Source organism: Homo sapiens, chromosome 9 (assembly GCF_000001405.40).
Source record: "Homo sapiens chromosome 9, GRCh38.p14 Primary Assembly".
Lineage (NCBI taxonomy): Eukaryota > Metazoa > Chordata > Mammalia > Primates > Hominidae > Homo > Homo sapiens.
In genome coordinates, this window is record NC_000009.12 from 75078681 (window position 1) to 75091987 (window position 13307).

A 13307-nucleotide genomic window follows, 5' to 3' on the forward strand; every position below is an offset into this window, starting at 1 on the left:
TATAAATGTAAGTGATATAAGTACCTCTGACATTCACCAAGAGAAATCACAGATGTTTTCATATTATGTTGCAGTTGGGGTGGATATCTTGAAGTATCATCGATGTTCATTATTGTTTCTGATTTATGGCATTGTTTAGACCCACTTCTGGCTATTGTTATTTAATATATTAACATAGAAGAGTATATATCACAATATCACAAATTTGTTTTTAAAAATATTTTTATAACTATATTTCAATATAACCAATTTCTTTTGTATTCCTGCATTTTATTTTGTACACTTAAAACTATTACTCTGAGGTCAAGATTTCACCATACCACCAAAATGTTCACAGCACAAAAACCTCCTGACTACACATCTATTTGTAAGAAACTTTGCTTAATCCCAGATGAGATCAATCCACAAATACTTATAATCTAGAAAAGGGAAAATGAACTAATATCCATTCATCAAAATGGCTTGTATATAACTCAATTACTACCTTATACCTCAAGGTAGAAGGAACCTGATTCACAAGATTTCTCATGTAACCTTACGATATACAATTGGGTAGGATATGGGCCATCTCTTTGAAAACGATGAAAAGTGAGTGGGTGCTACCCTATGTATCAAGAACATATTATGACTTTTCCCCTTCTTTAACAAAAATGTCTGTAAACCATACCAAATGTCCATAGTTTAGGTATTAAGTTTTGGTTTAAATGAGATAGTGAACAGGGGTGACTTTATTACAATATGAACAATCTGGCTAGAAAAATCTGTCATTTTTTAGACTTATCTCTGTTAAGATCACGCAGTCAAACCAACAGTAGTAATTAGATCCTTTCTCACTGACTTAGCTAAAGCTAATGAGAAATACACACCCCATTTTTGCACAAGCCTTGGAGGAGACAGATCGGCTAGAAGACAGTCTGAGATATGGAGAGGAGAGGGGAGAAAAAGTATTTAAACAAGCCTGCACCTAAGATCCACACTCAGACTGCAGACATCCTGGTCAGGTGACAGCTCAGGCCACCCAAAACATGGCGGAAAGGAATAGGAACCTTCCTTGGGGAAGGGAATAGGATGGGGGAAAGGGATAGGAATGGGGGAATAGGATGGGGTAAAGGAATAGGAAGGCCACCCAAAACATGTGGGAAAGGAATAGGAACATTTTCCTATGGCACGCCCACAACCACCACGTGTAGCTTGCGTGTGCTACCCAACCTGAGGAGAAGCGTGCCCAGCATGCATTCTGTCCTAGGATCTGAGGAAGGAAAAAGGGTGACTACTTGGTGCCACTCCCTTCTTTGCTCACAACACCCAAATAAATGCACAACTCCTGGCCCATTTATTTTTTATGTGCCAGGTAACAAGAGGGCTCATTGTATTTGGACATAACAGTGGGCTGGGGAGAAGTTAAAAGGCTGTCTGTAATTACTCAAACACGTGGAGAATACATTCTGCAACAGGTAGATGTTAATATTCCAATTTTCCAGTTGAGGAAACTAAGGATTGAGAAGTTGTATACTAATAAAACTAGTCCATGTTAAGTAATGGAGATGGGAAAGTCTAATGCCAGGATGGATTTAAACTTTTTTATGTTGTGGGACTCTGAGAGAATCCCATGAAGGTTATCATCTCTTTCCCCAGTGACTGAGTTTGGATGTTTGTCCCCTCCAGATCTCATATTGAAATGTGATCCCTGGCCGGGTACGGTGACTCACACCTGTAATCCCAGTACTTTGGGAGGTCGAGGTGGGTGGATCACCTGAGGTCAGGAGTTCAAGACCAGCCTGGTCAACATGGTGAAACCCCACCTCTATTAAAAATACAAAAATTAGCTGGGCGTGGTGGTGCATGCCTGTAGTCCCAGCAACTTGGGAGGCTGAGGCAGGAGAATCGCTTGAACCCAGGAGGCGGAGGCTGCAGTGAGCCGAGATTGCACCACTGCACTCCAGCCTGGGCGAGCAAGACTCTGTCTCAAAAAAGAAATGTGATCCCCAAGCTGGAGGTGGGGCCTGCTGGCAGGTGTTTGGCTCATGAGGGCAGATCGCTCATGAAGGGTTTGGTGCCATCCCCATGGTAATGAGTGAGTTTTTGCTCTGTTGGTTCACGTGAGAGCTGGTTGTTTAAAAAGTCTGAAACCTCCCTCTCACTCTCTCTTGCTCCTTCTTCCGCCATGTGACATGCTGGATCCCCTTCATCTTCCACCATGACTGTAAGCTTCCTGAGGCCCTCATCAGAAGCACATATCACCACCATGTTTCTTGTAGAGCCTGCAGAACAGTGAGCCAAATAAACCTCCTTTTCTTTATAAATTACTAAGCTTCAGGCATTCCTTTATAGCAAGACAAATGGACTAACACACCCAGAAAAATGACTGTCTTTACATTTGTGTTAAATTTCCAGGAAGTTCATGGATGCCCCCTGAATTCCTTCAGAACCCCTGTTATTTGCAATTGAATAATTACTAAGTTATTACTTCCCTATGAAGTAATTATTCGATTGAGGCTTATTGGACAATTACTTCCTAGGGAAGCAAGTGGCTAAGTTCATAAGATGCAAGGCAGGAACAAAAGTCGCCTTAACTGAATCCGGCATGGGCTTCACAGGTGCAGCAGCACTAAAATGAAACTGAGGCACTTGGCCAGGAGCAGTGGCTCATCCTTGTAATCCCAGCACTTTGGGAGGCCCAGATGGGAAGATTGTTTGAGGTCAGGAGTTCAAGACCAACCTGGATAACATAGTGAGACCCTGTTTCTTAAAAGAAAAAAATTAGAAATCATGGCACTTGCTAAATAAAAGATAGTGGAAAGAAGGCTTTCTTAGGGAGTTATGGATAGTACCTAGTACACAGGACAAGACAGAAGGTAGGTTTCTAGGTATACGGCCCTGTATTGGGACATTGAGAAGAGGGAAATCTTATTTACAGAGATGCCAGATGAAGGCTGGATTGGATCCTGTAGTGGACTTTGTAGTTGCCTCTCCAGGTTCCATGTCTGTTTTCTAGGTCCGGTTGGGACTGCTCCCACTCTCAATTCCAGAACAGAACCCACTGACCTAAACCAATCAGTGTAATCCCACCTCTTTTACCATGGTGGCTGAGTGTATGTGGACCAGGCTTATCCAGCAAAGGGAGACCTATGACCTAGGGGAAGAGAAGCATTTCCCCTTCTGCCCAGTGACAGGCTATGAAGAAACAAGTCACAGGGCTCCTAGTAGATCTTTGTGACCAAAAGGATAAGCCAATTCTAAGATGAACCCAAATGAAAGACACATAAAAGAGAGAAAAACTGCCTTTGGTGATACCACTGAGCTCCTGTATCAAATTTTTCCCGCAGCCTGCTACCCCTGAGGCTAATACATTTCCTTTATTACTTACAGATGGCCTTCATACATCATGATATTCAGATTTAATTCTCAATAACTCGGAACCACTGAATATCATTCATCAGGCAGATAATCAAAATGTTCTGTATGAAGATTAAACTGATAGAGGTGTGTAGGAAAGATTAGAAGGGAAAGATGGGGACTAGGGAATGACAGCCTGTATCAGGATGGTGGCAGTGAGGGTGAGAAGGAAGAGAAACACAAGAGAAGTACTGCAGAGAAAAACTGAACTTTTCTTCTGGTTAGATGGGAGGCAAAGCAGAGTTCTAACATTTAGTTCACTCAATTTTACTTCTGATTGATGACTTACTATGGTAATGTAATACCATAACACAATGATTTCCCCAAAATTACAAACAAAGTAGTCTCAGATATTTTATTAATTGGGTCACAAACAATGTGAATATACTTAGAGTAAAGGTGAACATAATATGGTAGCAAAACAAATAATGTCATTTTCAGTTGATGTTGATGTTTTATTTGCATGCCTGCCTATGGCACCACAGGTAGGATGACCATATAATTTAGAACATGTTTGAGAGAAAGAGAGGTGCATCCAGGGCCACAAGGATTAGCTTGGGCAACATGGGACATAAGGCCACCCAAAACATGGGGGAAAGGAATGGAGGTGAAGGTGTTCTGTATACCAAATGTCTGAAGCTGGGCACAGCTGGAAAGAAACTAAGTTTTCTCCTCCATCGTGATGAAGGAGAATGATATGGGGAATGATAAATCATCCTGAATGAAAGCAGTGCCCAATCAGACCTTGTCTCTGGTGTTAGCTCCACAAAATAAATGGGAAAGTGGGTAAATGTGGTTGACTGACTCTTCTGTTTCTCTGTTTATAGAAAACTCTTCCATCTCTTGTTGGCATTTATGAAGCCAGTGCTCCACTGATATTCCACAGTGGTCTGCTCTTCCCCAGGACTCTGGAATCCTCACTGCTTCTCCGTCCCCCACTCCATCCACACAGAAACACCATTTGGACATCCTCAGTATCTTAAAGAGCTGTTTGTAGCAAAATTACTCACCCACTGATTCCAATGATAAATGTTTTCATAATTAGCTTTGAAAATCACAGCTTCCTAATATTTCCTAAAAGTAAAAAAACAAACAAACAAATCAAATGCATTTCATTTAGATGTCTAGGGAGATAAAAGAATCCTAAATTAGGAGCACCAGCTGAGAGGGGAGGATGACAGTGACCTTTCAGCCCAGCCCCGCATTATCCACATTCCCGCCGCACTGGCTTCCCCTGCTACCACTGAGTGCCAACCACTGGGGTGTGCTCAGGACTGTCAAACAGTTCAACGTCAGGTGACCTGCCGGAGCACTCCCCCTTGAACGTCTGTTTTCTGGGCGTGGAAGAACTGCTAGGCCACAGCGTGGTATATGAAGTTTCATCCTCTCCTTAGCCAGGTTGCCTTCCACCTTCACGATTCAGTCGCCTGGGTATGACTCATTATCAGTGAGGGAGGGACCCCTGTGGGCTGGCCTCTTTCTCCCCTCATGAGACAAGGAAAAAGTCACTGCTGACCAGAGGCAAAAAGAAGCTAATGCCGTTTAAAGATACTGCCCTTATGAGACAAGAAGAAAGTTACTGCTGGCCAGAGGCAAAATGAAGCTAATGCCGTTTAAAGACACTATTTCTTCACCCAAAAGCCTAGGTCTTGGGCCTGGCTAGGTACATTTTTTTTGGAAACAGGCCAGACAGTAAATATTTGACACTATGTGGGCCAAGAGGCAAAATCTAGGTTGTTATGTATGGACTTATATAACAAGAGAAAAAACATTTTCACAATTTTTTTTGATGAAATTCAACATATAATCATAATTTTTTTAACAGGTCTACTAATGACAAGAATGAAATTCCCTTTTATTGGGCTATCATTTCTCTTAATTGGATTTCTGTTGTGCTTTCTACATGAAACTGCAAATGTTCAGGCAGAGGGCCAAGTTAAGCCACCGGCCACTGTTTTGTGGATTTTTGGTTTAGGGGATGGAGGGCAGTTTCATACATGCCTCCCTAACGTTCACTAAAGTAGTCCTTGGTTATTACAATGGGCCATTTTTCTCACTAAGTGAAAAGGTGAAGCACAGCTGGAGGGAATCTTAGAATAGTGGCTCCTGAAGGTCATCCCTGAAGGCCACTCTTCTTCCTTCCTATCTGCTCAGGGGGGTTGCCAGGGACCTAGGCCGTGTAGCCAGGGGCAAGCGGCTGCCTGCCAAGCTGGAGGCTCCCAGCAATGCTCCAGTTTCTATGATCTGTGTCCACACTCTCCCTGGGGAGGGGTTATGCAGAAAAAAGCCTGGTGGGAAGAGGGCTATTGTTGTCTGACTTCTTGGCTTATCTAAATATCCCACATTGAGTACAATTGCTTAAGACTGGGGTCCACTTCCATTAACAAGTCTATGTGAGACAAGAATCAATAATGACTGTGATAAAATAGCAGCAGGGCACTGTGGCTCATGCCTATAATCCCAGCACTTTGGGAGGCCAAGGCAGGCGGATTGCTTGAGCTCAGGAGGTTGAGACCAGCCTGGGCAACATGGCAAAACGCTACCTCTACCAAAAATACAAAAGATTATCCAGGCATGGTGGCATGCTCCTGTAGTCCCAGCTACTTCGGAGGCTGAGGTGGGAGGATTGCTTGAGCCTACAAGGTGGGGGTAGCAGTGAGTGGAGATTGAGCCGCTGCACTCCAGCCTGGGTGGCAGAGTGAGGCCCTGTCTTAAAAAATAAAATAAAATAGCAGACAAGTTGCATATTTAAGTTTCATCCAGAGTTATGTTGTTGAATACACATCTCCATCCAAATTTACAAGATGTATCGAGGGAATGACTGCATACAATGAATATTGTAAAATACATTTTTATGTTGTAATTTTTCTGCTTTTGAATTTTATTTTACCCTATTCTTATTTTTTTGGTATGTCGGTTCAATGCTGCCAATTAGCCTTTTTTTGGGAAGGGAGAGGCTGCTCTTTATCTCACTTTTGTGGTGATAAATGTTCTTTCTCTTACAAAACTATGTTGTCAGAAGATGTTAGTAGAGTGATATCCTCACTTTACCAAATAAAATAAAAATTCATAAAACCTTGTCATTCCTTGCCCCCATTATTTTTGGATAGCTCGCTGAAGCATAAATTCTCAAACTTGGAGAAGTATAGCTTTAGCGATTACTTGGTCTACCCCTTCATTTTGCATAAGTGGAAACTGGCTCAGACAATAGAGCAATTTGCCTAAGGTCACACAGACAGTAAGTGGAAAAGCCAGATATTAAACTAAACCAATTGAGCTGACTTCTTTCTATCACTCCAAGCTGCTAAAAAGCACTTTATTACTAACAGCAAAGAAAGGGTGTTAGGTATGTGCTAGCTTAATTGTCAGGCTCTGATGTATAATTGATGTCATTCTTACTGATGTATTATTGATGGGGCATCTATTTGCTGTGCACACAGAATGGAAAGGACTACTGGTCCCCGTCCTAAACTGCCACATCTGTGGTTACACGTGTGACCATTGCATCAATTACATGGCATGTAAATAACAAGTGAGCATGGTTGTGGCATGGGAAATAGGCTTGAGGGGGTTACTTGCATTCAGGAACCAGGAGTAAGATGGCATAAAAAACCTACTTATAAAATCTCTCAGATACAGTCAAATGTAAGTTTTTTTTTTTTTTTTTTTTTTTTTTTAACCAAAACAGGAACTCCCAGTTCTACATTAGTTAGCAGTCTGGGCCTGTCCAAGCCAGTGTTTGGGTAAATGCTGGGCATACCCTATCAGCTATGAGCAAGTGACAATGTGATGGGAAGGGTGGGTAACTGGAACATGCAGAGACAAGAGAGGCAACTGGGCTAAGTGACTAGGGCGGGGTGGGGGGTGGGCCTAGCAATCCCTGAAGGCATTTATTTCAAAAACAGTGTGGATGCACAGGGCAGCTTTAGGGGAGCTCCAAGTTCAGGCCTGGCACTGTCCACCTCCACATCACATTCTACTATTTCATTGCCTGTTGCCCCTATAAAAAAAATCACCAAGGCTGCAGTGAGCCATGACTGTGCCACTGCATTGCAGCCTTGGTGACACAGCGAGACCCTATCTTGAAAAAAACCAAAACAAACAGGCAAAAAACAACCCAAAAACTGCCTCCCATAAAACCAAAAACAAAACAAAAAATCAAATTTAAAAAGCTCGCAATTGAGTTGCCAGGCTTCATGAAGCAAATGCAAGCTTCGTACAAACTGTAAATCATGTGATGTGTCCAAAGAGTCATCATTTCAGGGCACGTCTATCACTAGAATCCACACCACCTTCAATCTCATGGAATATCTGTGTAGTTTATTTTCCCAGTGCGTGCAAGGCTTTCCTCAACAGCGGAGAGCTTTTGCATAGCAGGAGAACAAACTAGGATAGCCAAGAGCAAACCTGAAATGACTAATTTTATTTTTTACACTTTTTTTTAACCCTAAGTAAAATGTTGGGTTTTTTAAAATAATTCAGGTGTGTTTATTATGCTTAATTCATTTCACTACTAAACACTTGCCTTTTGGATTCTAAACTGCAGAATGGTCAGAAGTGGCATGTGCAGAATCAGCAGATTGTACGAACTCTCTAACGCAGCTCTCTAACGCAAATGATCTGAAAGACAGCTGACAAAGCTAAATGTGCTCTTCAAATGTATCTACAGGACAGTCTGATATTTTAAAAAGAGAAAAATGTTTCCAGGACTTCTTACTCTGTATTCTATCCAACAGCTATTTTGATTCTCTTCTTCCAGGAGATAGGGCAGTCTTTTCCTACTATTGTTTAAACTTTGCTCCCTTTTGGTAAACAAATCCCTCAAGGCTGGGTTTTTTTTTTTTTTTTAAGACAGAGTCTCGCTCTGTTGCCAGGCTGGAGTGCAGTGGCGCAATCTCGGCTTACTGCAACCTCCGCCTTCTGGGTTCAAGTGATTCTCCTGCCCCAGCCTCCCGAGTAGCTGGGACTACAGGCGTCTGCCACCACGCCCGGCTAATTTTTTGCAGTTTTAGTAGAGATCGGGTTTCACCAGGTTGGCCAAGATGGTCTTGATCTCTTGACCTCGTGATCCACCCGCCTTGCCCTCCCAAAGTGCTGGGATTACAGACGTGAAGGGCTGGGGTTTTTGAAAACGCAATTCATGCCCCTCCCCCATTGGTTTCATTTATGTAGGTTCTTAGGTAAACAGTTTTTTCTTTCCCCAAATATACAATTAATTTACAATATTGACTGTTATTTTGAACTTATGCCATTGGCTTCCTTGTGTGCTCCAGTTCTTTCCTCCCACCGAAGATTCAATCCGATAGATCAGGGGTAGGAAAACTTTTTCTGTAAAGTGCCAGACAGGAAATGCTTTGGGCTTTGCCAGCTGCTACTCAACCCTGCTGGGTAATGCGAAAGCGGCCACAGAAAACACAGATGCAAATGAGCGTGACCGTGTTCCAGTAAAATTTTACGGACACTGAAATCGTAATTTCATGTAATTTTCACGTGTCACAAAGTATTATATTTCTTTTTATTTCTTTTCAGTCATTAAAAAAAGTAAAAAAAAAAAAAATTCTTAGCAGGCCTTACAGTAACAGGCAGCAGGCGGGCAGTAGGTCATCACCCCAACGCTAGAGGAATGAGACCATATCGATCCGCGAGGATCAAGTCCTGATCCTGTCCCTGGCGACTTCTCCAGGCTGCGCGGTCTCTTGGAGGCAGCGTTCCCATTTTCAGGATTATTCCGGGGCGCTAGAGCACCACGCCACCATGAGTACACGTCCTCCTCGGCAGGCCACCTATCAGCTCTGTGAGGGTGGCAAGAGTCCAGGCAAGGCTTTCAGGGCGCAACCAAGTCCCGGGCTCCAGCACAGAAACCCTCTGGAAACACCTCCAGGCCCCAGCAAGGCGGCGCGGCGCGGCAGGGGCGAGCAGGTACGCACTCACCTGGCGCCAGTTCGAGTCCTCCCAAACACAGCGGCAGAGGCGACAGCCAAGCGCGCGCCTGTACCCAGTGCGCCGCTACCCGCAGCTCGCTCCCCGAGAGGCCCACAGCCCCTTTCCCCACGCTCCTCCTGGGTTAGAGGGATGCCAGGTAGGGGCGGTCACCAGAGGCCCCTTTTCTCTACTCTCGGCGCCGGGTTCCAGCCCCCGTTGGGGCGGGGCGGGGCGGGGCGGGGCTCCGGCTAGCTTGGCCTCTTCCGCGCGCCCCTGCGCAGCTCCGGCCCTTCCCTATCGGGAGCGCGCGCGGCCCGCGGCACTGCACTGGCGCACGCCCGCTTCGCCCTCGCTCGGCTCCGGCTGGTTCCGCCGCCGTGCGCGCCGCCCGCGCTCCTGCTGCGGCGAAGCTGCCAGCCCGGGAGCCAATTAGCGCTCGGCTAGGCGGGGTCCACTTCCTCGTCGGCCCGGCGCGCGCTCTGGACTGCTCCGGCGGCCGCGGGGCGGGGCGGAGCACTCGGCGGAGCCGCTCTGCCTGCGTCCGCTCTTCCCGCAGCCAAGGGTGGGCGCCGGTCCTAGGAGGCGCACGGTTGTAAGCCAGACAAAAAGAACTGGGGTGCCCGGAGTGCCAGGTGGCGGGCAAGCGGTGGGCTTTTCGGCGGGGTCTTTAGGATTTGCAGCTCCAGGAAGCGAGATGTCGAAGCCGCCACCCAAACCAGTCAAACCAGGTGAGGGAGGTAAGGTAGGCGCTTGCCAGGTCCTGCGACCGCCGCGGTGCCGGCGCCTCCTCTGCAGCTTGGCAGGGAGGACCCGGCGCGCACCCGGCCCCGAGCCTGGCTTCCGAGATCGGCCCCACCGGGATGGGCGCTCTTAGTTTTGCGTTCGCTGTTACGGAGGAGGGATCGATTTTGATAGCAAGAGGATTTCGAGGATTAATATATATATATATATTTAAAGGGGAGTAGCCCTCACTTTTGCTACGTTGTCATTCGCTGAAACTTTCAGAGGGTGTGATGGCAACGTCCCATGGAAGTTTTCCGGAAAGACAGGGCCATTGATCTCCCTTTAAAAAATGTCATGAAATGATCTTTAGCCACTTCCTCTTTTCTCAGTGTTTGTCACTGTCAAGTTAGGGTTCCTGACCGGCCAGAGCGAACGGGAAGTGCAATCCCTGCAGGGTGGGGTGGGCGAGCGAGCCTCCCTCGGGACTTAAGCGTGGAGCAGCGTTTGAAATTGACCTCGGGATCTTGGGAAGAGCGTTTAGAAAAAAACCCTATACTCGCGCTCCTGGTGGAAAGAATCTAGGATGCGGCAGTGATCTCAGCTGTTGCTATTTGGAAGTGTCATTTTATCATCTCCTTTGCCTTTGCTCTCCCAAAGACGTTGGCGTGCTAAACCTGAGAGGGCTGAGATTACTAAATTCCTCAAAGCAGTTTTCTGGGCGGATTGTCCTTGTTCATTTTTGCTCTGTTCTTAGAATATTTTCTGTGATATGCAGAAATAAGATAATTGTAAAAGAAACTGACGTATTTTAATTAAAAGTTGTAACATACTGTTCCGCTCATTCATTTGGGTAGGTAATTAGAAAGGACTGACGTATTTCAATACTTTAACAACTCTTACGTGCATTCATTTGGGTAGGTAATTAAGGGAAATACAGGAAATGGAAGATAAATGGCTCCGATGTATTCTTGGGTTTTTTCTTCCCATAGTGTAATTTCGGTATAGCGAAATGCTGAAATTTAATCCATTTACGTCAAATTTTGAAGTAACTTTCTTTGCAAGAGATGAGTTTCAGTGATTACTTTTTTCCTTGATTTTCCTAAACTCTATAGCTTTCATACTTATCTAGTTTTGTTTCTTTGCGTTCCTGCAGTTGGAGTATGAAGTCCCTTTATTTGATAATCATGTACGTACGTATGTGGAATAGTGCTTCACTGAGGACTGACATCTTGGTGGGCTGAGTGTGAAGGAAGTTGCTGAGACTGGCTCTGCCCTGGGCAAAGATGGGGCACAGCTAGAGTTGGGTTCTGCATTGCATTAGATGTGGAATCTGATGAGAAATTTCCATTTTAAGTGCATATGTATGAGGTAGCTTTCTAAACTCAGGTGCAAATCAGGACCTTAAGTATCTAACAGTGCAGAGTTGTTCTTTGATAGCTAAACAATATTTTATTTATCTTATTTTTTTCTGATCACCTGCTGCCAGTTGAAATACGTTAAAGAATGCCCTTTTTAAAAATCTCTTCATGCGTATTAAATGCTGTCTATATTGCAAATGGAGGGACATTGACAGGTGTGTGTGTGTGTGTGTGTGTGTGTGTGTGTGTGTACACAGTAATGTATACATGTGGGTTCATTCACACTTGGGGGTTTAAGGGTCATCCTGTTACTAATTGTGGATACATTCCCAGGAACCTCCTTTCTCCTTCACATCAGAAAGCTTATGGTTAAACATGACAGGTGTTTAGAGGGAACTTTGCATTTTATTTTATTTTAATTTGTTTTATCTGGTCCTTGATTCAGGATAAAGGGAATTTTGAATCAACATTAATTTACAAATGAGATCCAGACACAAAGTTACCATAGAAATGGGTTTGCCAGTTTAGTAATTTACAGTGAGAAACATTACTGCCAATCAGAGTTGAAACTTTGTGTGGGCTAGCTTAGTTGAAGAAAAAAAAAAAGCGATGGCCAGGAGCAGTGGGCCATGCCTGTAATCCTAGCACTTTATGAGGCTGAGGTGGGAGGATTGCTTGAGGCTAGGAGTTTGAGACTAGCCTGGGCAACATAGCAAGACCCCGTCTCAACAGAGTACAAAAAACAAAAACAGAAATGTCCTATCGTAGTACTGTCCCACATTTACTGTGTGTTAGGCAATGGTATAGTCACTTTACACGTGTTAACACATTTGCTGCTCTCAACAATCTTATGAGATCAGTACCATTATATTGTTCCTGTTGCACAGATGGGGAAATAAAGATGCGCAGAAATGTTATTTAACTTGTCTAAAGTCAACAGTTAGAGTGGGGGATGTAGCAGGCAGTATTAAAACCCAGGTAGTCTGGCTTTGAAGTCTGCACTTTTTTTTTTTTTTTTTTTTTTGAGACAGACTCTCGCTCTGTTGCCCAGGCTGGAGTGCAGTGGCGCGATCTCGGCTCACTGCAACCTCCGCCTCTCGGGATCAAGCAATTCTCTGCCTCAGCCTCCCGAGCAGCTGGGATTACAGGCAGCCCGCCACCATGCCCGGCTAATTTTTTTTTTGTATTTTTAGTAGAGACAGGATCCAGGCTGGTCTTGAACTCCTGACCTTGTGATCCACCCTCCTTCGCTTCCCAAAGTGTGGGATCACTGTGCCTGGCCAAAGTCTGCACTCTTAACCATTTGCTATTCTGCCTTAAGTCATAGTGCTCCATTCACACTGGCGGTCAAATGTGTATTTTAGAGCTGGTGGTCAGGAAGTCGAAAGGGAGGGGCCTCTGGTCTACAGACTTTCTTGTCACAAATGCACATAAAGGTCAGCCCCTGGTTGACAGCAAGGAGAGTGGTGTGGAGCTTTACTTTCTTGTCCTGCAGGCAAGCTGCATGGATAAAAATCTCCAAAGACAGCATGGGATTGGGGGCTTTGGGGTTGTATTTAATTTTTTGGTTTGTTTAAACCTTGCCTCATTCCAAAAGGACTTCTAAAAATACACATGATCTGAGAGAGAGGAAAAAGTAAAGATAAAGCATGGTCATCTAGAGGAAGGGAAGAATAGTAAGATGAAACAAGAGGAAAAGCTAGCTTACAGACAGACCTGCATGTGTAGTAAGGTCACTGTAGATTTGGCTCTCAGCTGCAAGCAGAGAGAAAAATCTCAAGATTCATAGTGCTCATAAAATTAAAATGTGTCACTTACTCTGAAAAGTAGTTATTTTAATGGCATTGAGATCTGAGACAGATTTTCCTGTGGGTTCTCTTAAAGTATTGGAGTGGCCTGGATATCTCT

The 13307-nt window shown here is 44.6% G+C and overlaps 2 protein-coding genes across 19 annotated transcripts in view, besides 2 other annotated features; one reads left to right on the forward strand and one right to left on the reverse strand.

Moving 5' to 3' along the window:
• NMRK1 (nicotinamide riboside kinase 1) overlaps positions 1–9475 on the reverse strand; it is a 27579-nt gene extending 18104 nt beyond the window's left edge. For 4 of the 13 annotated variants that reach the window (XM_017014874.2, XM_006717163.3, XM_047423548.1 and 1 more), the window contains exons 1-3: positions 9328–9475; positions 8971–9188; positions 4407–4470 (exon numbers count right to left, since the gene is read on the reverse strand). In XM_017014874.2, the coding sequence (XP_016870363.1) occupies positions 4407–4435 (29 nt within the window). In that variant the 5' untranslated portion in view covers positions 4436–4470; positions 8971–9188; positions 9328–9475. Of the gene's footprint in view, positions 1–24; positions 2262–4406; positions 4471–7921; positions 9189–9327 lie in introns of those variants that run through there. The other 9 variants (NM_001127603.2, NM_017881.3, NM_001330678.2 and 6 more) reach the window with 5 other exon arrangements.
• Positions 9345–9944: a silencer, noted in NCBI's record as "silent region_19954". NCBI's record gives its function as "represses an Ori minimal core promoter by ATAC-STARR-seq in GM12878 lymphoblastoid cells {active_cell/tissue: GM12878}" and the evidence as "EXISTENCE:reporter gene assay evidence [ECO:0000049][PMID:35858748]".
• Positions 9834–13307, forward strand: part of OSTF1 (osteoclast stimulating factor 1) — a 58752-nt gene continuing 55278 nt past the window's right edge. For 4 of the 6 annotated variants that reach the window (XM_011518524.3, NM_012383.5, XM_017014622.3 and 1 more), the window contains exon 1: positions 9834–10046. Coding sequence is in view for 4 of the 6 variants with exons in the window: in NM_012383.5 (NP_036515.4) it covers positions 10013–10046 (34 nt within the window). In the remaining 2 variants the exon portion in view is untranslated. Of the gene's footprint in view, positions 10056–13307 lie in introns of all 6 variants that reach the window. The other 2 variants (XM_006717053.4, XM_011518525.4) reach the window with 1 other exon arrangement.
• Positions 10135–10224: a silencer, noted in NCBI's record as "silent region_19955". NCBI's record gives its function as "represses an Ori minimal core promoter by ATAC-STARR-seq in GM12878 lymphoblastoid cells {active_cell/tissue: GM12878}" and the evidence as "EXISTENCE:reporter gene assay evidence [ECO:0000049][PMID:35858748]".